The sequence below is a fragment of the Homo sapiens genome, chromosome 5 (assembly GCF_000001405.40).
Source record: "Homo sapiens chromosome 5, GRCh38.p14 Primary Assembly".
Lineage (NCBI taxonomy): Eukaryota > Metazoa > Chordata > Mammalia > Primates > Hominidae > Homo > Homo sapiens.
Genome location: NC_000005.10, coordinates 176,593,949 through 176,616,989, shown reverse-complemented (window position 1 = coordinate 176,616,989; position 23,041 = coordinate 176,593,949). Strand labels below are relative to the sequence as shown.

Sequence of the window (23,041 nt, the reverse complement as noted above, 5' to 3'; positions counted from 1 at the left end):
TCCTCACCCCCATCCTGCTTTGCTGTGCACACAGAGACTGCCTTCCCACCCATGTCAGCACCCTGAGGACCATTGCTGGGTGGCTAACCTGAAAACTGCCCTCTCCCACTGATGGAGGGCTGGGGACTGTCCCCCGTCCCCGCTGTTCGTCGGTCTCCCTACCCCCACCCCCAGCAATGCAGCTCCACAGCTTTCTCTGGAACTTTATTTTTGTTTTCTCCCTTCCCTATTTATAGCTCTCTCCCCTTCAAACCATCCCTGCATCCATCCTGTTGCCTGGAAACAGGCTCTGGGCTGAGGGTGGGGGAAGGCCAGGCCGAGCCCAGGCAGGGGAAGGAAGAGCTGTCACCCACTCCCCTCTTAGTACCACCCCCAGGCTCCTAGAAGCCCACCCCTCCCTCTGCCCAGCACCCATCGTGTTTTTTAAAAAGAGAAAACAAAATGTGACAAGCAGCGGCCTTTGGGAAGTCCTTCCTGGCTCCTCAAGGGCACCATGATTTCACTTGCACCTCTCAATAGCCTACCTGCCCGAAACTTGGACCCATTTTTTCAGATGAGGAAATAGAGGTTTCAAGAAGCAAAAGTCTTGCAGCCCAGTGGAAGCTCCATGCTGTGGGGTTGAGAGCCTTGGGATATCAGCCTGACACACTGAAAAGAAAGCTTGAAAGCATAAATCATTCTGTAATTCTTTACTTACAGAAGGATAGAGAGAAAAAGTTTACAACAAACCTGCCACACAGCAAGCCACTGGCCATGCATCTGCCATGCCCTCTGCCATGCACCCTACCATGCCCCTGCAGTACCCCCACCTACCTCCTACTGTGTGCCCACCACACCCAACTGCAACTTGACTTCTGGCCCTAGTGCTTACTCCACAGATTGGACCAGGCTTGCTTCCTGACTCTGTCACCCCACCAACTGTGGCAGTGGAAGTTCACATAACCTCTCTGAGCCTTGGTTTCCTGAGCCCCAAAATGAGGATGCTAATTTCCACCCCATAGGACTAGTAGGAGAATTAATGCAATACTGATGAGAAAGTGCTTCGTAAATTATAGGGTGCTGTAAATTGGGAGTGATCAATTAGAATAGTTAATATTGTTTATTGTTATTGTCATTGTTAGGACCAAGAGGTAGGGCGGGGAACCAAAATTGGCCCTGAGATTAGAGAGGGAGCCCCTGGCCAGGGTCCAGGCGGAAGGACTCCTTTCCCTGGCAGAATGAGGGACATGGGTGGGGGCTGCCTGGGTGCACCTGCAGGATATCAGGGAGTGGAGGAGGGCACAGAGGTCTTCTTGTGCCCAATTTCTCCCTCTCAAGTGCTCCATCCCTTATTGTCTACCACCAACTCATTGTCCCCTGCCCTAAGATCCAACTTTGCTTTCCAAATAGGCTCTCTGGGATAACTTGAGCCCAGGAGTTCAAAATCAGCCTGGGCAACATAGCAAGACCCTGTCTACAAAAAATACTAAAAATTAGCTGTGTGCAGTTGCTCACACCTGTAGTCCCAGCTACTTGGGAAACTGAGGTGGGAGGATTGCTTGGGCTCAGGTATTGGAGGCTGCAGTGAGCTGTGATCATGACACTGCACTCCATCCTAGGCAAAGCAAGACCCTGTCTCAAAAAAGAAAAAGGAAAAAAAAAAAGGCTCTCGGGCAGAATGGGAGAGAGGGCTGCCAAGGAGCAGCTGGGCCATGATTCAGCCTGAGTCACCCATCCGAATCCTGGGGCCTCCCTCATCCAGGCCGGGCCGCAGCTGCTGGGGGTGAGGGGGGTGCAGCGAGGGGGGAGGGGGCCTGTGTGAGCAGCAGGCTGTGTGCCTGTGTGCCCAGGCTGGGGCTCTCATGACCATCAGTGCAGCACTGTGAGGGCCCGGGGATAGTGCATGTGAGGAGATCAGGGTGGGAAAGGTGACCCGATGTGCATCAGTTATCTGGGCTGACTGAGGAGGTAGAGTTTCCTCATGTGTGTGCATATGTGTATGTATGTAGCATGTGCACATGTATGAGGGCGTTGTGTGGGTGTCTGAGTAGGGCTAGAGTTTGACTCCCAACTTTATTACTTTCTAGTTGTGCAACCCTGGCAAGTTACTTAATGTCTCTGAACTTTTTAGTTTCCTCACCTATGAAATGGGAATAATTGTATTGTCTCAGATGGTTTTCTTTAGGATTAAATAGAATGAGGTGATGACTGTAAAACACTAATGTACAGTAAGTGGTATACTACCATCGTTATCATCATCTGGGGGGTGCTGGGTTATACACGGCACACAGGAGGATGGGTGTGGATCCGAGTATTCAGAGGGTGCAGGTGTGTGGGGTCTGGGTAAGTATTTTTTATTTTTATTTTTAAATAAAAAAATATAAAAAATTCTTCAATCTTCATAGCCAACTACAACTACAGGTAAGTATTTCTTGAAGGAGTGTGTGTTTGTATGTGGTGTGTGCATCCCTGAAGCAAACACAAGAACTTTACAGAAAGTTGGGTTTATATGGCACTGCCTGCCCTCCCCCCTCCCCCCCCCACACACAGAGCACACACCTTCTCTAGTGGCTTCAATTTGCTGAAATATGGCCTAGACCAGGGCCAGTATCCAGGCAACGAGTTCAGGAACTGTGGATGCTGTTGTCTTGGGAGTCTCAGACCTCAAAAGTTTTAGCCTCAAACAAAGCTAGAATGGGAGTAGCTGCCTGGGTGTGAGAAGGGGATTGTGCTTTATGGAGGAGATATGAACATGATATGAATGTGAACGAGAGGGGAAAGAGGGCAAGATACATATTTTGTGTGTGTGTGTGTGTGTGTGTGTGTGTGCGCGCGCGCAGGGGTGGCTTTGGGGGGTGGCTGCTGTCTCTGCTCTGGTACAGTCTGCTTGTCTCCATGGTGCCTGTTGCCACACACGCTTGCTTTTCAGAAAGTCACTGGGATTGTTTATTCCACCCCCGGCCTGGGCGCCAGCCAAGGAGCTGCAGGCACTTGTTTATCTTCTGGTGCGTACGAGTGTGTATGGCTCCCCAGTGGCAGAGCAACCCGAGATACATACACACACTCACACGGGTGTGGGTGACCATGTCATTTGTCACAGGGTGAGCCTGAACCCTAGGATGAGTCACAACCTGGGACCAGATGGATTCTCTCCACACGGGGACAAAGATGACCCCCAGCAATTCCAGGTGTATGCAACACCGATTCAGCAAGGCCCAAAATTCCAGGAGAGTATGAGAAGCAGGTGGCTTTGGTTCCGTGCTCCATCCCTGACTCCCCCTCCCCCCAGAACAAATCAGTGACCTGGGTCACTGCCCACCCTAGAGCTGGCACTGGGATCCATCCCATCCCACCACATGGGCTGGGGTGGGGAGGTGGTCTCCCAAGGAAGATGGAGGTGCCGTGGTCAGAAAAGGGTGTGCGGTGCTGGGCTTGCCATAACACTGCTGTCCACAGCAAAAGCACTTGGTGTATTTTTCCTCCCTACATCTTCCTTAGAGCTCTGAGAGCTAAGCATTGTATAGGATGATATCGAGGCTAAGAGAGACCTCAACCAAGGCCATACAGCTAGTAACTGGCAAAGCCAGGACTGAACCCACATCAACTGCCTCCGTACCTGTTTTGAGCTCCTCCTCTGCGTTAGCAAGTGCTTTGTTTTGTTGTCTGGAAATTTTCATTTTAAAAATGTTTTTATCAACAAGTCCCTATGGAACAAGAGTGGTTGCAGAGCATGGCAGAGGACCCAGATTTTAAAGAGGCTCCAGTGTCCACATAGCAGGCACTGCCAGAACTCTGACCACATCCCTTTGGGTGCCCTTATCATTTTTGTGCCTACCGGCAGGACTCCCAGCAGTACCTGCATCTTTGTCAGAGAGATGCTCTCAGGCTGCTGGGACCCACTTTGCCCACATTCATTGTGGGCCAGGAATGCCTGGGAATTAACATACAGCCCATGCAACACATTCCAGGGATGGCCCTTAACCAACATCTGCTGGTGTTGGGATATAAATACCCCACCTCCCTTGCCCTCAGCCAGGAGAATTCCAAAATGTGTATTTACCCCATTTTCCAAGAGTTCCCTGCAGGATTAAGCTTCACTCACTGTGGTAGCCGACTGAATAATAACCTCATACTGGCTGCCTTCCCTTCCTGGGTCACCTTCCCACTCCCCTGCTGGTGTCCTTGCACCTCACAAATAAACCACATGCTTTTGATCTTTATCTCCAGGTCTGGGAGCTGCCCTGGGGTTCTGGATCCCATCCCCACCTTCCACCTGAGCATCCAGACCCAGCCCTGGTCCTCTCTTTTGCTGACACCTTGCCCTTTCCCTCTGTACTGGGCCCCTCCCATCAGAATTTAAATGCCTTCAAGTCTCCTTCAGCTCAACCTCCCATCCCTCTGGAGAGACTGTCATTCCTGTTTTCTCTCTCAAAGCCCAGACTTTCTGAGGAAGTTGTCTACTTGCCCACTCCATTTCCTTACTCCTATTTCCTCATCAACCTACCCCCCACCATGGCTGCCTTCCACCCCGCTTCTCCACTGACTGCATGTCATCAACTTTCAAAGTCCAGAGGACACCTTTCAGGCCATATCTTGTCTTCTTGATGTGGTGACTCTCCTGCCTTCTGGAACACTCTCTCCCTTGGCTTCTGAGACATAACACTCTCCTGGGCTGCTTCTGGCTTCTCAGATGACTGCTTCTCATTCTTTGCTGCAGCCTCCTTTTCCCAGCCAGTCCCTTCATGTTGGCGTGCCTCAGGGTTGGCCTAGGGCCCTTGTGTCTCCCTACCTGGTGTGTACCTGATGTGTACGTCCTCCCATGTGCCGACACCCCTCCCATGACCTCCGGCACCAGCTGGAGGTGGATGGGCTCCCTTGTCTGCCTTCAGCTTTGGCCACGGCAGAACTCAGTTCTGGACTCAAATGTATCAGCACGGCCATCCTATAAACCCCTCTTTCCCCCCAGAGCTCATAAATTATCTGTCCTTCATCCACCTGGCTCCCCAAGGCAGAATCTCAGAGAGACAGCAGAGTTCTCTCTCCCCTCCACCCACATCCACCTCATGGTCAAGGCCTATTGATTTTACCCCTAGATAGGTATCCAATCTGACTCTTCCTCTCCATCCCTACAAATGCCGCCGTGGTTCAGGCATCATCATCGCTCACCTGAACACCTGCCATAGCCTCCTCACTCCTGCCTAGTCTCTGCTCCTGTCCACCCTTGTCCTGTCCCAGGGGGACCTTTTTCGATCACAGGTTGGTTCTTGCCACTTTTCACATCTGTGAACTTCTCCAAGCCTTAATTTCATCTGTGTCATGGAGCCAGTAATGTTTACTTTGAAGGGCTGTAGGGAGAAAAAAATGAAATGATGAATGTGGAATAAGGGTTTGTAAGCTCTGAAGCGAAATGGCCTTGTGGGCAGTGAATGAGCAATTTTCAGGACCGGAAATGTGAGGAAGCAGCCCTGGTGTGGTGCTGTCCGTGGTTCTGAAACCGGTCCGACACGCTGAGGTTTTCTCCTTGCCTGGCGTGCTGCCTGGAGACGCCAGTCCCACGGATTTTCTTCATTTATCACCTAGAATTTTAAATATATATATATATATATATATATATATATATATATATATATATATATATATATATATATTTTAAAGGATCACGGTGACTTACGGTTCACCAAGTAAGAGAGGGGAGTAAAATGTAAGAATAAGAAGTGAGGTTTCAAAGTTAGACTGCATGGGTTTGTAATCCCAGCTCCACTACTAACTAGATGTGTGACCACAAACAAGTTACTTATCTGCTTCTCTTTTCTTATCTGAAAAATGGAGATATAATACATTAATATTAACTTGCTCCTAAGCGATTGGAAATTGAAATTAGATAAAACCTGTAAACAGAATCTTAGCGCCGTGTCTGGCCCTACATAAGCATCATTGCCAATGGTTGTTACCATTGATTAATAGATGGTGGTGGCTTCATAGTACCGGTGCGAGAGGGTTTTGTCACATCTAGAGCAATTACGGAATTATTTTTTCTCCTCTGGGAAGTCAAGGGGAAGGGAACTCCTTCTCTGCAGGGAAATGTGGAGGGGGTGGGCAGCGAGTCTCTGTGTCCTTGGTGATTCAGATACCACTGGAAACCCCTGAACACCTACTTTGCCCTTCCAAGACCACCGTGAGGTGCATAATGTTAGTCCCGTTTTACAGATCGAGAAACTGAAGTGCAGAGAGGTGAAATGATTTGCTCGAGGGTATCCAGGGGGAGGGGGGAGGGCGGGCGGGCCCCCGGGGAGGCCGCAGCCAGGGACTGGAAGGCATCTCTCCCGCACCACTACCTCCGGCGTCCCCGCCACTCGCTGGAGCGTGGGCAGCGGCGAGACAAAGGGCCGGGGGCGGGGAAGAGGAGGCCGGAAGTGCGGCCGGGGGTGGGGGGGGCGGAGGCGGGAAATTTCCTCGCTGGCGGAGCCGGGAGATCGCGCCGACCTGGGTCCCCATCCAGGCGCCTCGAGTCCTCAGGCCGGCGACTGCCCCCTCTGAGCCCCAGTTCCCTCCTTGGTCAAGCCAGGCGAGGGCTTTCGAGGGGCTGGTCTAAGATCTGCTAGACGGCGCGCCCCGCCCTCAGCAAGCTCGCAGCAAAGGGGCAGCCTCTCCGGCCCTCAGTCTCCCTGTCTGTGAAGTGGGAACCCGCTCGAGGACGGCGCGGAACCCGGGAGCCCAGCGGCCGCAGTTAGGGTTGGCCAGCGAGGGGCGCCCCTCCCTCGCTCCCTCCGGCCGCGGTTTCCCCGCGGTCACCGCCCCCTCGCGGTTCCGAGGCGGCCGGGCGGCTACTGCGCATGCCCGGGGCGGGGCGCGGGGCGGGAGCGCGGAGCCGGCGCTGGGGACGGCGGCGCCGAGTCTGCGGGTCCTCCCGCCAGCCCGGCCGGAGGCAGCCGAGGCCGCTCGGGCGGCGGCGGCGGCGGCGGCGGGAGCCGGAGCGCATCTCGCCCAGGAGCCGGAGCAGCGGCACTGCCTGGTAAGCGCCGCGCCCACACCCGCTGTCTTTCCGGGCGGGCGGCGGCAGCCCCTTCATCCGCTCGCTGCCGCCCCGGAGCCGCTGTCCAGGGTCCTCGAAGCCCCCCGGCGGCGGGGCTCGGACACCTCGCGCGGCATGAGCCCGGGTGTGTGCGCGCGGCTGGGGGCGGTGGGTGTCTGTTTCCAGGCTCCTCGCCGGGGCGGGGCGGGGCGGGGCGGGGCGGGGGCGGGTCCCGCAGCCCTGGGCCGAACATCAGAGGGGCCCGGCGGGCCAGGCTGACCTGGCTGTGGGGTCGGCCCCGCGCCCGGCCTTGCCGCCGCCCGCTGGCTTTGTTCGGCATGGCCGCGCGGGAGGGGGTGCTTCCCGCCACTGGGGGGAGGGCGTCCTCCCGCGTTGATTCATCTTCCCCGGAGCGAGCTCAACGCTCCACTGGCTCCACTCGCACTACTGAGCACACTCGCCGTCACACAACCAGTGTGGCACACACTCCGGGGCGCGATCACACAACACCGCGTTCACGCACGGGCGCCTCATTTCCTCGAGTGAGGCCACAGGTCTACCGCACACACACAATGGCTGTTGGTCATTCCATTAGACTCATACACACGGCCACCTGTCACCCAGGGTACTGGGTGGGAGCCTTGCGTACACACCCAGGCACAGCTACGCACTCAAACCAGCCATCGCGGATCACAGCATGGACATCAACTCAACAATACTCCCTGATCACAACACACTCGGGGCCACCCTGCCCTGGCCTGCTCACCCCTGCTCATGGGGTCCCTTGCGTACCCAGATACCCTGGAGTAGACTGCCACCCTTGTGCACACACTCCCTCTTACACACACACTCTGTCTCTTAGCGTGCTGCCCACTCCCACCCACACTGGCCCACGTTTGCACGTCCATGAACGTCCATTCTTGCCCTCCTATGTATGTATGTATGCATGGTCTGAGGGCCGTTTCTGGAAGCAGGTCTGGCTAACACCTTTAGATTCCTTCTCCCCCCACACCCCCGAGCAGGAGACTTCGCTGCTCTGAGGGCACTACGAGAGAAGGGGACGAGGGGCAGCAGACTGAGATTCTCAGACACACTCAGATGCCTGACGAAGTCCCTCAAGCCTTTGTTGGTCTTGTCAGCACAGAAGAGGTATTTGCAGGTGCTTGGCAGTTCTGGCCCTGTTTATGGGTGTAAGGATAGCTCCATGCTGGAAAGAAATCCTAGAGGGAAAGGAATGGCTGGCCAGGTCTCTGTGGCCTGAATGGGCAGCCACAGGGGCTGCTGCTCTCCCTGGGAGCAGGACACAGGCACCTGTGCAACACCCAGATAAGCTCTCCTAGGAGTGAGATACCCACAGGGTCCAAGTAGCCCCCACGAGGCACAAACACACAGGCCATTCTGCACATGCAGGGTGTACATACGCACAACAAGCTCTTCTTGAGCAGAACACAGGAGCCAGGTCCTGGCCCCAGAGTGGCCCAAGCTGGTACATACATCCACAAGCAGTCTGTTCACTCCTTTGCATGCCAGGTGAGCCCGCCTACATACCTAGCAGACATTTCTGCCTTCTGCCTCAGTCAGGCCACACTCAACCTGTTTGTGCCCAAGTGTACAGGCTCATCTGCTCATAGGGTGTGTGCGTTCCCACAGGTGGGGGAATGTATGCAGGGGGAGGGGAGCTCTTGCTTCTTCTACTGCATGCTCCTTGGCACTGTTGCTTGGGAGGAACCTTGGCCTGACCTCAAAAACCAGAAAGGGGGTTTTGAGAACCAAGTGTCAGGCCAGGTGCAGTGGCTCATACCTGTAATCCCAATACTTTGAGAAGCCCAGGCAGGAGGATTGCTTGAGGCCAGGAATTTGAGACAAGCTTGGGCAACATACCAAGACCCCCATCTCTACAAAAATTTAAAGATTAGCTGGGTGTGATGGCGCATGCCTATAGCTACTTAGGAGTCTGATGAGGGAAGATTGCTTGAGCTGAGGAGTTGGAGGCTACAGGGAGGTATGATTGTGTCACTGCACTCTAGCCTGGGTAACAGAGTGAGACCCTGTCTTCAGAAAAAAAAAAAAAAAAAAAAAAAAAAAAAAAAAAAAAGAGCCAAGTGTCAGTGTCCACGATCTTAGAAAGAACTCAGGTTTTGTGCTTGGGCACAACTGGCTTTGAGCTACAGCCTTCCCTCAGTTGTGTGCCCTTGGTCAAGTCTTGACCAAGTTGTGTGCCCCAGTTGTGTGCCCCAGTTGTGTGCCCTTGGTCAAGTCTTCTCCCTCTGACTTCAGTGGCCTCATCTGTGAAATGGGATGATAATGCCCCCCTCATGAGATTGTTGTGGGATCCAGATGATAAAAAGAGACTGAGACCGGGTGCAGTGGCTCATGCCTGTAATCCCAACACTTTGAGAGGCCGAGGTGGGTGGATCACTTGAGGCCAGGAGTTCAAGACCAGCCTAAACAACATGGTGAAACCCTGTCTCTACAAAAAATACAAAAATTAGCCAGGTGTCGTGGCACATGCCTGTAATCCCAGCTACTCGGGAGGCTGAGGCAGGAGAATCACTTGAACCTGGAAGGTGGAGATTGCAGTGAGCCGAGATCATGCCACTGCACTCCGGCCTAGGCAACAAAACAAGACTCGGTCTCAAAAAAAGAAAGACAGTGAGCGTGCTGGGCCCAGGTAATGGAGCTGGGTTCTAGTGGGGTAGTTGCGGGGAGAGAATGTGGGGCCTCAGGCCTGGGCTGCCTCTCAGAGAAGCAGCTCGAGGATCCTCAGGCCTCCCCAAGATCCAGGAAGGGCCCAGCAGAACTGTGAGCAGTAGAGCCTCTGGGAGTGGTCTTGGGGCAGTTCTGAAACCCAGGGCTGGCCTATCTCTTCCAGATGTAACTACATCCCCTCTCCCATTTCACAGATTGGAAAACTGAGACCCACGGAGTAGAAAAACTCACTCAGAGTCATAGAGGATGTCAATGACTAAGCTGGGGCTTGACCCCACATCTTTCTACCTCCCTGACCAGGCTCTCTGTCCCTACCCTGGACTTTATCCCATCTCAGAGGCTGGAAAATACAAGTTGGGGACGGGAAGCCTGGGGACTTTCAGAAGGGGCATGTTATCAGCTGAGCCAAGCTTGCCTCTTAGAACCTGTTTCTTCCTCTGGAAAACAGGACTACAACAGCTGCCTGGCAGGCGGGTGGGATTTGCACATAGTAAGGGCTCGACTTGTACAAGGTCACCTCTGCCTTTCATGGCATTGTGCTCCAGGGTCCACACTCAGGTGGCTACAGGCCAGGAGGGTAACATACATGAAGGGCCGGCTGTGAGAAAAACGACAGTGAGAATTCCATGATTGATGGCAGCAGACAGTCAGCCTCAGTGTCTAGGACACCGTGGGGAAGAGGGGGGATTGTGGCTGATTGGAGAGTACACCCCCATCTAAGGAGGCTGTCCCTTTGGGGCTCCAGCTGAATGTTGCCAGGCAGGAAGCACGCTCAGACTGCCAAATTTTAGTTTTCCAAGAGAAGCTGGAAATCTTACTGTCACATGAAATCTTCTAATGTTTAGAAGTTGATCGGTTAATTCCTTTTTAAAACTGATTTTAAAATGTGTTTAGCTCTGTGGGTCAAACAAGCCTGTCTGAGGGTCAGGTTTTGCTGGTTTGTGTCCCTGCTGCAGACCCTTTCCTCCCCTGCCCCCTCCTGGGAGCACAGCTGGGCTCTGACAGGCTGAGCAGATAAAAACAGGCCTTCCACAGACACAGCCCAGCCCTAAAGTGAGCAGAGTCAGGCACACCCCTCATTTTCTTTAATTCTCACTATAGCCCTGGGGGAGCAGGAGGTGGGTTCTTCAGGGTCCCCAAGGAGGAGAAGGGCGTTGCTTGAAGTCACAGAGCTGATAAGCGGTGGGCTGGCCTGACTTTCTGCCCGGGCTGCACCCAGGGAGAGGAGCTTATTGGCTGGGCTGGTGTGTGAGGACCCCAGGGCTGGGCTTCCAGGGCTGAAATGAGGGGTAGTGAGGGCCCAGAGCACCCTTCCTATATCCTTTGCTGACTCCTTCCAGCTCCAGCTAAACTCCCTGTACACCAGCCAGGCAGCTGTTGAATTCCTGTTTTCCAGAGAAGGAAACAGGCAGGCATGGTAGGCAGATCCTGGCCCTCACTGGAGCCTGGGCCCTTTCTCTCTCTCCCTGTCTCTGTTTTAAAGACAGTTTCTTGTTCTGTTACCCAGGCTGATCATAGCTCACTGCAGCCTCAAACTCCTGGACTCAAGAGATCCTCCTGCCTCAGCCTCTGGAGCAGGCAGGACTATAAGTACATGCCACCACACCTGGCTAATTTCTTTTTTTTTTTTAATTTTAATTTAAAGTTTTTGTAGAGACGGGATCTTGCCGTGTTGCCCATGCTGATCTGGAACTCCTGGCCTCAAGCAGTCATCCCACCTTGACTTCCCAAAGCACTGGGATTACAGCCGCGGAACTCCGCCCCAGGGCCCTTTCCCTTGACCATCTTCCCGGTCACCCTGGCTTATAACGTCCTTTTCCATAGGCCAAGGGCCAGATGGATCAGAGGTTGCAAGCTGGTGACCTAGGGGTCAAAGTTGGCTCATGAAAGTGTTTTGGCCGGGCATGGTGGACCATGCCTGTAATCGCAGCACTTTGGGAGGCCAAGGCAGCCAGTCACTTGAGGCCAGAAGTTCGAGACCACCCTGGCCAACACGGTGAAACTCTGTCTCTAGTAAAAATTTAAAAAATTAGCTGGGCATGGTGATGTGCGCCTGTAGCCCCAGCTACTCGGGTGGCTGAGGTACGAGAATTGCTTGAACCCGGGAGGCAGAGGTTGCAGTGAGCTGAGATTGTACCACTGCACTCCAGCCTGGGTGACAGAGTAAGACTCTGTCTCAAAAAAAAAAAAAAAAAGTGTTTTGTTTAGCCTGTATGATATTTTTTAAATTAGCCAATATTTAAAACATGGATATCCATGCTGGGCGCGGTAGCTCATGTCTGTAATCCCAGCACTTTGGGAGGCCAAGGTAGGCAAATCACCTGAGGTCAGGAGTTCGAGACCAGCCTGACCAACATGGAGAAACCCTGTCCCTACTAAAAATACAAAATTAGCTGGGCATGGTGGCGCATGCCTGTAATCCCAGCTACTTGGGAGGCTGAGGCAGGAGAATCACTTGAACCTGGGAGGCAGAGGTTGCAATGAGCCAAGATAGCACCATTGCACTCCAGCCTGGACAACAAGAGCAAAACTCTGTCTCAATAAATAAATAAATAAAATACAGATATCCAGATTTATGACTTAGCTAAAAAAAAATTTAGGAAACCTGGAGGCACAGCGGCCACATTCACTTCCCTGCTTAAATACTTCCAAGGGGCGGGATACAGTGGCTCACTAGGCGCTAGGTATAATCCTATTGTAGACACGAGATCCTGCTATGTTGCCCATGCTGGTCTGGAACTCTTGGCCTCAAGAGATCAAGGTATAATCCTATTACATTGAGAGGCTGGGGTGGGAGGATCACTTGAGCCCAGGAGGTCAAGGCTGCAGTGAGCCGAGATCGCGCCACTGCACTCCAGCCTGGGCAACAGAGTGAGACATTGTCTCAAATAAAAAGAAAATACTTCCAGGGTTTCCAGTGCCCTTAGGCTAAACCCCCCTCCTCCACCATGCCTCATGTGATTTGCTGCCTCCTCTTCCGCTGCCACCCCCTTTCCGACTCCACTCCAGCTCTTCATGGCTGGCTCAGATGGTAACTGCCTCAGAGGGGCCTTTCTTGACCACATGTCTAAACCAGCTGCCCACTCCTTTGTCTTCACAGCATCCATTATTTGAAATACTATGATTTATTTGCCACTTGTTTATTTCTCTCCTCCCAATCTTTCTGCATCTATAAGGCAGGGACCCCACATTTCTTATTCACTGCTGTATCCCCAGTCCCAAGAATAATGCCTAGAACATTGCCTGTGTGCTCAGTAAATGCTGAGTTAATGGAATGATTCCTAATTGGCCACAGCTGGCAGGAATTGAGTGCCGTTGCCCCTTTAGAAGGGGCCAGTGCCCTCTAGTTTGCCACAGTCCCCACCACTCCCTCTTGTCTCCCTCAGTCTGGGGATGTCAGGAGTCTTTCATCATCTCCCTTGTAGGAGAAAACAAATATTTGTGCCCATATCACTATCAAAAGGCCAAAGATGAAGATGGACTCAATTCACGCCACTCAAATCTGATGCCTGCCTGACCCCTGCAGGCTGGTGACCATCCAGTGATCCCACGAATTCCAACCAGACCTCTCCCGTGCTTCTGGCCTGCTTCCTACTGCCTCCTGGATGTCACCCCCCATAAGTCCCATGGGCACTCCAGTTCCACTTCCGAAACCCAGTGCCCCATGATCCTCTGCAAAACTGTTCCTCTTCCTGTGTTCCCTCTTAGTGATGGTCCCCCTCCCCCACCTCATAAGCCAGAGCCTGAGGGACCCAGTAGTGAACAGTATCGACTGTGTCCCCATCCAGAGACCTGAGGTCTGGCCAGGGACCCAGAGGTGTAAATGGCCAGATGCAGAGTGACATGAGCCTTGTTAGAGGAGGAACGAGAGGCTACAGGAATCCCCAGGAAGCTGGTAGCCAAACAAGGCCCACTAGAGGAGGAGGTGTTTTAACGGAGATCTGAAGGTGTAATAAGAGACAGCCAGGCAAGAAGGGAGGGAGAGATTCCTCCAGAAGAGGGTGTGTAGAGGCTGAGATGGTGGGGGAGAGAGAGAGTGTGTATCTGTGTGTGTACATGTTTTGGGGGTGGGAGTGGGTAATGAAAGATAAATCCCAGCACTTAAGTAGAAACATAGGGGCTTAGGAGCATATTAAAGAGCTGGACTTTACCCCAAAGGTAAGAGTGAGTCATTAAAGGTTTCTCTTTATTGTCCATTGGAAAAAAAAAGGACTATGTGCGCACATAACCACAATTTAAACATCACAAAGGGGCGCACAAAGAAAAGCTTCTCCCACCCTCAGATCCCCGCTCTTCCTTCTGAGAGGCAGTCACTGCTAAAAGTTTTATAGGATTCCATCCAGAAATTCTCTTTATAAATAAACCCATCCATGTGTGTCCTTTTCCTTGGCTACACGCGTGGGATCCCAGTAGCGATGCTGTCCCCTGGCCTTTTTCAATTAATTTATCTTGGGTGCTTTCCCTCATTACCCCACACCTTCTAGTAGCTGCCCGGTGCTCTGCGTGGTTGTCCCACAGTTCACAGAACCTGCCTCCCCGTCTTGTTCTCATCACTAGCCATGCCCTTGTGTACCCCAGGACCATCTTCAGGACCCCAGGTCTATCTTTAGGACCATGCTTAGAGGTGGGCTTGGTGGCTCAAATGCTATGCGCGTTGTAAACTTTGATAGAAATTGATAAATGTCCTTCTAAAAAGATTACAACTAATTTACATTTCCGGCAAGAATGAGGAGGGTTTTGAGCCAAGGAGGGCACAGGTGGCTCTGCATCTTAGGTCATTCAGTCATTCATGGAACAAATCCGTATGAGGATCTTCCTTGCTTACTGCATGTGTGCCAGGTCTCAACTCTGGGATATATCAGATAGCACAGCAAAGTCCCCACCTCCTGGAGCTGGCATTTTAATGAGAGCAACACACCACAAGCAATAAGCGAATATATGTGATATGTCAGATGGTGACAGGTACTATGGAGGAAAACTGATTAGAATAAGAGGGTGGAGAATGCCAGCCAGAGCTGGGGAGGAGGCTGTTTTACATTGCATGGGTCAGGGAAAGCCTTGGGGAGCCGACCATGCAGATATTTGGAGAGAAATCTCTCCATGCAGAAGAAGCAGGCAGCGCCAAGGCATGGAGGCAGGCGTGTTCAAGGCACAGCAAGGCGCACAGCGAGGCACCCCGCGTGGCTGAAGCAGCGTGAGGGAGAGGGAGAGCAGCAGCAGAAAGGGCAGAGGAGGTGACGGGGCCTGAAGATGCAGGGGCTTCTGAGCCATTCTAAGGAGTTTACTTTTACTTTGCATGGGATGGGGAGACACTGCCTGGTTCCGAGCAGAGGGGTACATGATTTGTCTCGGGTTTTACTAAGATCCCTCTGGCTGCTGTGTTGAGAATAAGCTATGGGACAAAGGAAAAGGCAGGGATAATCCAGGTGAGAGATGGTGGGGGGTCCAGATGGCAGTAGCCAGATGCTGGATATATTCTGATGGTAACTCCATTATGTTTTGCTGATAGACGTGGGGTGTGAAAGTCAAGGGTGATTAGGGATTTGGGCCTGAGCATTAAAGCCATGGTTTTGGAGCAGGTTTGAGGGGATCAGGAGCTCTATTTGCTTTGGCTACTGAGTGTGTAACGGAACGGGGTTGCTTGTAGGCCCAGCTGCCTGCTGGACCCTCTTCTTGGATATCCCCCAGGCACTACAAACTCAGCTTGTCCAAAAACGGATCTCCCTCTTTCCTACATCTCCTGCTCAGCACCATCACCCAGCAGCCCTCACCCTAGCCAGTACCCTGCAGACCGCCCCTGCCATTACCAGTACAGCCTGTTGGTACCTGTCAGTTTTCCTTTGGATTTCTCAATTCTGCCTTTAACTACCATCTCCAGGACCTCTGCTGTGCTGTCTCTCATCGAGATTCCTGCAACTGCTCAGGGCCTGTTGCAGAGAAGGGGCTAGGTGAATGAATGAAGGATTAAATGGATGAAAGATTAAATGAATGATTTACCAGCTTCCTCACAGGTCTTGGCCAACCCCTGTGCTCCTTCAGCCCAGCCTCCATACCATCCCAGAGGAATCTTTGAAAACACACACATCTGACTATGTCCCTTCCTTGACTATAAACCATTCACAGCTCTCCAGGGCCTACATAGACATAAACTGGTGGCCTACAGGCAAGTCTTGTTTGGCCCACATAATGTTTGGGTTTTTTTTTTTTAAACCTTTAATTAATTAGCATATTTTACATTAAAGTCTGGATTTCCCACTTAAGCAACTGGAAGAACTGGGACCACCAGGTTGCATTTCTCCAGGATAGCACTTGGCTGATGGGAGTAGTGGTTCTCCCTTTATTATTTTTATTAATTTTTGTTTTTGTTTATTTTTGAGATGGAGTCTTGCTCTGTTGCCCAGGCTGGAGTGCAGTGGCACGATCTTGGCTCACTGCAACCTCTGCCTCTCAGGTTCAAGCAATTCTCCTGCCTCGGCCTCCTGAGTAGCTGGGATTACAGGCGTGCACCACCACACCTGGCTAATTTTTTTGTATATTTAGTAGAGAGGGGGTTACACCATGTTGGCCAGGGGGGTCTTGAACTCCTGACCTCTAGTGATCCGTCAGCCTCAGCCTCCCAAAGTGCTGGGATTACAGGCGTGAGCCGCCGCACCCGGCCATCCCTTTAGACAGAGCATGTGCTCTCTAATTTGCCATAGTCCCCACCACTCCCTTTTGTCTTATACCTAACCCACTTCCCTCACTTAAATTACCTACTTGACCCCCGGACATCAGAGCTTGCAGCCCCTGGCCTAGAGGACAAAAGCATAACTTCTGGATAGTGTGTTGCATGGGGTGGGGTTGAACAGAGAGGGGCGATAGTAGGCAAAGTTGAAAAGTTAGGCTGTGGGTGGGGCGCAGTGGCTCACGCCTGTAATCTCAGCCTTTGGGAGGCTGAGGTGGGCGGATCACCTGAGGTCGGGAGTTCGAAACCAGCCTGACCAACAAAATACAAAATTAGCTGGGCGTGGTGGCGCATGCCTGTAGTCCCAGCTACTTGGGATGCTGAGGCAGGAGAATCGCTTGAACCCAGGAGGCGGAGGTTGCGGTTGCGGTGAGCTGAGATCGCGCCATTGCACTCCAGCCTGGGCAACAAGAGCGAAACTCTGTCTCAAAAAAGAAAAAGAAAAAGAAAGTTAGGCTGTGGCCAAGTTGTGAAGGGCGTTGAATGCCTTGTAAGACGTCTTTATACAGAGGGCCACTGGGAGCAGTGAAGCAGGGGAGTGACATGCTTGGGTTTGTGTTTTTAGTCTAGGTCCTCTGGACAGGTGGGGACCAGATGGGACACAGCACTCAGTGAGGAAGGGGAGAAGGCAGAGTCTCCTCCCCCACTGAGCTTTGGGAAGTCTGAGTCAGCTCTCTCTCTGTTTCAGAACCAGACAGCAGCCTTGGGTGCAGGCGTGGTCATGAGGGCAGATGGACACTGCTGAAGACCCGGCCTGGCTCCAGCTGCTTCAAAAGGATTCCAGCCCCCCAGGACCCCGACCCACAGCCTTCTTCTGCCCACAGGATGGGAGCCTGGGGGCTGGCAGCTCGGCTATGAGGGATTACTGCCCCTCCCAGCAAAAGGCAAGCCCTGCACCCCCCAGGCACACCCCTGACCAAAGCCCAGGCATGGAGTCTAGACACAGAAGCCCCAGTGGGGCTGGGGAAGGGGCCTCCTGCTCTGACGGCCCCAGAGGGAGCCTGGCCTGCCCCTCCCCAACCTGCTTCTCTCCCCAGGAGTCACCCTCCAAGGAGACATTGGAGGCACATGGAGCCTCCATCTCAGGGACACCAGAAGCCACCACGTCTGGGAAGCCAGAGCCTGTGTCCTCCGTGAAAACTGAGCCCAAATCCTCAGATGACAGAAATCCCATGTTCTTAGAGAAGATGGATTTCAAGTCCTCAAAGCAGGCCGATTCCACTTCCATAGGAAAGGAGGATCCTGGGTCCTCACGGAAGGCAGATCCCATGTTTACAGGAAAGGCAGAGCCTGAAATCTTGGGAAAGGGGGATCCTGTGGCTCCTGGAAGGATGGATCCCATGACTGTAAGAAAGGAAGATCTTGGATCCCTGGGAAAAGTAGATCCTTTGTGCTCCAGCAAGACGTATACAGTGTCACCGAGGAAGGAGGATCCTGGGTCTTTGAGAAAGGTGGATCCTGTGTCCTCAGACAAAGTGGACCCTGTATTCCCAAGAAAGGAGGAGCCCAGGTATTCAGGAAAAGAGCATCCTGTGTCCTCAGAAAAGGTCGCTCCTACATCTGCAGAAAAGGTAGATCTTGTATTGTCGGGAAAGAGAGATCCTGGGCCCTCGGGAAAGGCAGATCCCATGCCCTTGGAAAGCATGGATTCTGCGTCCACAGGAAAGACAGAGCCGGGGCTCCTGGGCAAGCTGATTCCAGGCTCATCAGGCAAGAATGGGCCTGTATCCTCTGGGACCGGGGCTCCTGGGTCCTTGGGAAGGCTGGATCCCACATGCTTGGGGATGGCAGATCCCGCATCTGTGGGAAATGTAGAAACTGTGCCTGCCACAAAAGAGGACTCCCGGTTCCTGGGAAAGATGGACCCTGCCTCCTCAGGAGAGGGGCGTCCTGTGTCTGGCCACACGGATACTACGGCTTCAGCAAAGACAGATCTCACATCTTTGAAAAATGTGGATCCCATGTCTTCAGGCAAGGTGGATCCAGTTTCTCTGGGAAAGATGGACCCCATGTGCTCAGGAAAGCCAGAGCTCTTGTCTCCTGGACAGGCAGAGCGTGTGTCTGTGGGAAAGGCAGGAACTGTATCCCCAGGAAAAGAGGACCCGGTGTCCTCCAGAAGGGAGGACCCCATATCTGCTGGAAGTAGAAAGACATCATCTGAAAAAGTGAATCCTGAGTCTTCAGGAAAGACAAACCCTGTGTCTTCAGGTCCAGGCGATCCCAGGTCCTTGGGGACAGCAGGTCCCCCATCTGCAGTAAAGGCTGAGCCAGCGACGGGGGGAAAAGGAGATCCCCTGTCCTCGGAGAAGGCAGGTCTGGTGGCCTCTGGAAAGGCGGCTCCCACAGCCTCAGGGAAGGCCGAGCCCCTCGCGGTGGGCAAGGAGGACCCTGTGAGCAAGGGAAAGGCAGACGCTGGCCCCTCTGGACAAGGGGACTCTGTGTCTATAGGTAAAGTGGTCTCAACTCCAGGAAAAACAGTCCCGGTGCCCTCGGGGAAGGTGGATCCCGTGTCCCTGGGAAAAGCAGAAGCTATCCCAGAGGGAAAAGTGGGTTCTCTGCCTCTAGAGAAGGGGAGTCCTGTTACCACCACAAAGGCGGATCCCAGGGCCTCGGGGAAAGCACAGCCGCAGTCTGGTGGCAAAGCAGAAACAAAGCTCCCTGGGCAAGAGGGCGCTGCAGCACCAGGGGAAGCAGGGGCTGTGTGTTTGAAAAAGGAGACACCACAGGCCTCAGAGAAGGTGGATCCTGGATCCTGCAGAAAAGCAGAGCCCCTTGCCTCAGGGAAGGGAGAGCCTGTGTCCCTGGGGAAAGCCGACTCTGCACCTTCCAGAAAAACGGAGTCCCCATCCTTGGGGAAGGTGGTCCCCCTGAGTCTGGAGAAGACCAAGCCGTCCTCCTCCTCCAGGCAGTTAGACCGCAAAGCCCTCGGCTCAGCCCGGTCTCCCGAGGGTGCCAGGGGCAGTGAAGGCCGCGTGGAGCCGAAGGCCGAGCCCGTGTCCAGCACCGAGGCCTCCAGTCTCGGCCAGAAAGACCTGGAAGCCGCTGGGGCCGAGAGAAGCCCCTGCCCAGAGGCCGCAGCGCCCCCGCCGGGGCCGCGGACTCGCGACAACTTCACCAAGGCGCCGTCGTGGGAGGCGAGCGCCCCGCCGCCGCCGCGCGAGGACGCGGGCACTCAGGCGGGCGCGCAGGCCTGCGTCTCAGTGGCCGTGAGCCCCATGTCTCCGCAGGACGGCGCTGGGGGCTCGGCCTTCAGCTTCCAGGCGGCGCCGCGCGCGCCCAGCCCGCCCTCGCGCCGAGATGCGGGCCTGCAGGTGTCGCTGGGCGCCGCCGAGACGCGCTCCGTGGCCACTGGGCCCATGACACCTCAAGCCGCCGCGCCGCCCGCCTTCCCCGAAGTGCGGGTGCGGCCCGGCTCAGCGCTGGCGGCCGCTGTAGCGCCCCCGGAGCCGGCTGAGCCCGTGCGAGACGTGAGCTGGGACGAGAAGGGCATGACGTGGGAGGTATACGGCGCCGCCATGGAGGTGGAGGTGCTGGGCATGGCCATCCAGAAGCATCTGGAGCGACAGATCGAGGAGCACGGCCGCCAAGGGGCGCCCGCGCCGCCGCCCGCCGCCCGTGCCGGCCCCGGCCGTTCGGGCTCGGTGCGCACCGCGCCCCCAGATGGCGCCGCCAAGCGTCCGCCCGGCCTGTTCCGCGCGCTGCTGCAGAGTGTGCGCCGGCCGCGGTGCTGCTCGCGGGCGGGACCCACGGCCGAGTGATCTGCCCCCATTTTGTACGCCCGAGTTTCCGACCTTCTCAGGCTCCCTTCTTGATCACAGGCCCCTAGAAGGGGTCCCCTCTGCGTGCCACAGGCCTCCGAGGGGTTGTGCAGCCTCTAGGGCTGTTGCGTCCCCGTCTTTCCAGCCCCTCCCATCACAAATACAGAAGAACCCCTTCTACCAAGCTCCCTCGTGGCCACGAGGCCACGAACCCGGCCAGCCCTGACGCCCCACTGTCCCCTCACAGCCCTCAGCTCTACTCCCGGTCACACTGGGCGACCACGGGGGCCTGCTCAGCACCCTCACCTCCCACCCCCTGAGAGCTGGGGCAGGCTCCTGAGATGTCTAGACTGGTGCGTTGTGGTCTCCGGTGGGGCCAGATCCCCAGAACAGGGAGAGACTGCATACAAGTCTGAGTGGCAGAAGCTTCAAGTGGGTGAGGATCGGTGTGTGAGACCCGCGAGTGGGCACGTCTCTGAATGTGAGGTCTCGGGCAGCACGTGAGGTAGAACGAGTGTGAGCGTCTCCACGCAGTGGCTGGCCCCGTGGCCGGGGCGTCTCTTGCATGCTGTTGGTGGTCCTTCCCCAGTTCCTATCTCCCACCCGCCTGGTTCCAGCCCCATCCCCTCTCCCACTGAGTCACAGGTTTGAGATTCCCAGAGAGGCCAAAGACAGCTACAGGAAGTACCCTGGGGGCTCAGCTGAGAGAGAGTCACAGAAAGGCCAGAGGGTCTCAGGAAGGTCTGGAGGTCACAGCTGGGCTCACAGAAGCTCTTGGGCCCTGGCATCCTGGGTGACCGGTGTTCTTGGGTATTGGGGACAGGACAGAGAGCTCATTCTATAACCACAGTTGTCTTTTAAAGGCCACCCTCTCCAGCCCCTTGTCCCCCCTGTGCTGTGAGCCCAAGTCCCTTGTGACCACTCAGTGTCCCGTCCCCACCCCTCCAGCCGCAGTTTTTGGCTACAAACTGTCACAGTATACATTGGTAATAAAATATTTCCCCAACCCCTGTCTGCCGTGATTGGCCAAAAGCAGGAGGCAGGGCAGCGTCATATATTTTCATCTCCAGGGAGACAGGTGCAGTTAGGGTGTGGTAGGGCCTCTTCAAGGGGTCCAGAAGAGTGGGGGCCCCTGTCACAGGTCCGTGGTGTCCAGGCCAGCGTTGGTGTAGGATGGCCCCTCCAGCTGTCCACTTGCGCCTGCCTGCCGTCCTAACAGGACCACGCTCAGGGGCTCTGGATCTGGCTCTGGTGGTGTGTGTGGTGGCCTGTGCTCCTGCAGGGAGAGGGAGAGGAGGTGTGAAGGGCAAGGCAAGGTGGGGCGAGTGCCCCAGGCCCTAGGGGAGTGGATGGGCTTCAAGCTCACGACCAGTGGTTCCTTGGCAGGGGTCCCACCCTGCCCCTCCTGGGGCCTCTGGTCCAGGCTGTGTCCCAGAGGTGGCCCTGGCTAATGGTGATGCAGATTAGGGGAGGGGGAGGGTGTGGCCTGGGGGATTCACTCTTGCCTTTGCCCTGCCCACCAACACTGCGGCACTCTGCCGTTCAGCCCAGTTCCAAATAATGCCAGGCCCTGTGTCCTGTGCCGAGGAGCCAGCCCAGCGCAGTTCCTGCCCCCTGTACCCCACGGCAGGCACCGTGTGGGTTGAGGTCCATCCATTACCTCAACTACCCACTGAAACCCTCTGAGGGAGGGAACATGTCCTCTCTTCACAGATGTGGAAACTGAGGCTTAGAGAGGTCTACTGGTGAAGAGGGGCAGACCACTGGTCTTGCTGGTTCAAAAGCGTGTCCATGATGTGACACTGCCCTGGTTGAATTTGACGTCTCTTTTTGCTGCCCTCAGAGGGACGCTGCCCACAGGCTGGTCCCACCTGCAGTTTATCATGGCACACACTCACTCATCTCTCCCGCCCTTCCTCTTCCACCTCGCCATGCGACATGCTGTGTGCGTGCACACACACACACACCCTCCTGTGGAACAGCCAGGCCCCCAAGCTCAGCTGCTCTGCTACAGAGACACCCACAGGGCCAGAGCCCCGGCCACCACCGCCCTCCCCAGGGCACTCCAAGGGCTTTTTCCAGACTGGGGCTGTTCTGGTCCCTAGTAAACAGTGGAACATCCGAGGGGCCCCAGAGGGGCTAAGCATTCTGCCTGTGTTCCTCAGAGCCCTCAAGACAGACCCCAAGTGGAGAGCTGCAGGCTCAGTGCCACCCACGATAACATGACCTGGTGCCAGAGACCAAAGACCTGGGTTCTGGTCTGCCCCTGCCCTGCAAGCTGTCCCACTTTGAGCAAGTCAGCACCCCTCTCTGGATGTGAATTTCCTTGCTGGTTACTTGGGGAGGTTAGAGTGATAATCTCTCCAGCCACTCACACCTACCACACAGACGTGTGGAGCTTAGACAAGTCAGGGCACCAAGAGATTCCTGGGAAAAGGATCCACCTGCGCCACCCCAGCCATGGGAGAGCAGGGGGCAGACAGCTCCCAAAAAGGCCCCATGCCTCGTGGACCTGCCCAGAGACCCGCAAGACTCACTGCTGCAGGAGACAGGGTGGAGCCTTGGGCAGCTTCTCAGAAATATAGCAACCCCCTGCCCTCCCAGGACATAATCTGAGCAATTTTCTGGCTTTGAAGACTTTCCGTGACTTGTCCCCACACCCTCTCCAGACCCTTCTCCTACTTCCCTGCCCCTTCCCAGTCCACAGATCCAGCCACACCTCAGGGGGTCCTTAACTCCACTCCCTTGGGTTAGGAGCAGCATCAGCCTCTGCCACAGGCCATGCACTCCAGTAGACAAGACTGTTCCTTCGCCTCAGTTCCCCAGACATGTTCATTAGAGTTTTGGCCACTAACCATC

The 23,041-nt window shown here is 54.7% G+C and overlaps 2 protein-coding genes across 3 annotated transcripts in view, besides 5 other annotated features; one reads left to right on the top strand and one right to left on the bottom strand.

Annotated features, from left to right (window-relative positions):
* Window positions 5,308-5,602: a silencer, noted in NCBI's record as "tiled region #11151; HepG2 Repressive DNase matched - State 9:DNaseU, and K562 Repressive DNase unmatched - State 8:EnhW". NCBI's record gives its function as "represses a minimal TATA promoter and a strong SV40 promoter by Sharpr-MPRA in HepG2 and K562 cells {active_cell/tissue: HepG2 | K562}" and the evidence as "EXISTENCE:reporter gene assay evidence [ECO:0000049][PMID:27701403]".
* Window positions 6,504-7,133: a silencer, noted in NCBI's record as "silent region_16661". NCBI's record gives its function as "represses an Ori minimal core promoter by ATAC-STARR-seq in GM12878 lymphoblastoid cells {active_cell/tissue: GM12878}" and the evidence as "EXISTENCE:reporter gene assay evidence [ECO:0000049][PMID:35858748]".
* On the top strand, window positions 6,834-21,188 carry GPRIN1 (G protein regulated inducer of neurite outgrowth 1). The gene is made up of 2 exons (NM_052899.3): window positions 6,834-6,991; window positions 17,113-21,188. The coding sequence occupies exon 2, from the start codon at window positions 17,156-17,158 to the stop codon at window positions 20,180-20,182; it is 3,027 nt and encodes a 1,008-aa protein (NP_443131.2). The 5' UTR covers window positions 6,834-6,991; window positions 17,113-17,155; the 3' UTR covers window positions 20,183-21,188.
* Window positions 7,194-7,253: a silencer, noted in NCBI's record as "silent region_16660". NCBI's record gives its function as "represses an Ori minimal core promoter by ATAC-STARR-seq in GM12878 lymphoblastoid cells {active_cell/tissue: GM12878}" and the evidence as "EXISTENCE:reporter gene assay evidence [ECO:0000049][PMID:35858748]".
* Window positions 19,726-19,815: a silencer, noted in NCBI's record as "silent region_16659". NCBI's record gives its function as "represses an Ori minimal core promoter by ATAC-STARR-seq in GM12878 lymphoblastoid cells {active_cell/tissue: GM12878}" and the evidence as "EXISTENCE:reporter gene assay evidence [ECO:0000049][PMID:35858748]".
* Window positions 19,956-20,115: a silencer, noted in NCBI's record as "silent region_16658". NCBI's record gives its function as "represses an Ori minimal core promoter by ATAC-STARR-seq in GM12878 lymphoblastoid cells {active_cell/tissue: GM12878}" and the evidence as "EXISTENCE:reporter gene assay evidence [ECO:0000049][PMID:35858748]".
* CDHR2 (cadherin related family member 2) overlaps window positions 21,016-23,041 on the bottom strand; it is a 53,464-nt gene continuing 51,438 nt past the window's right edge. The window contains exon 32 of one of the 2 annotated variants that reach the window (NM_001171976.2): window positions 21,016-21,458. In NM_001171976.2, coding sequence (NP_001165447.1) covers window positions 21,318-21,458 — 141 coding nt within the window. In that variant the 3' untranslated portion in view covers window positions 21,016-21,317. The remainder of the gene's footprint in view (window positions 21,459-23,041) is intronic. The other variant, NM_017675.6, reaches the window with a different exon arrangement.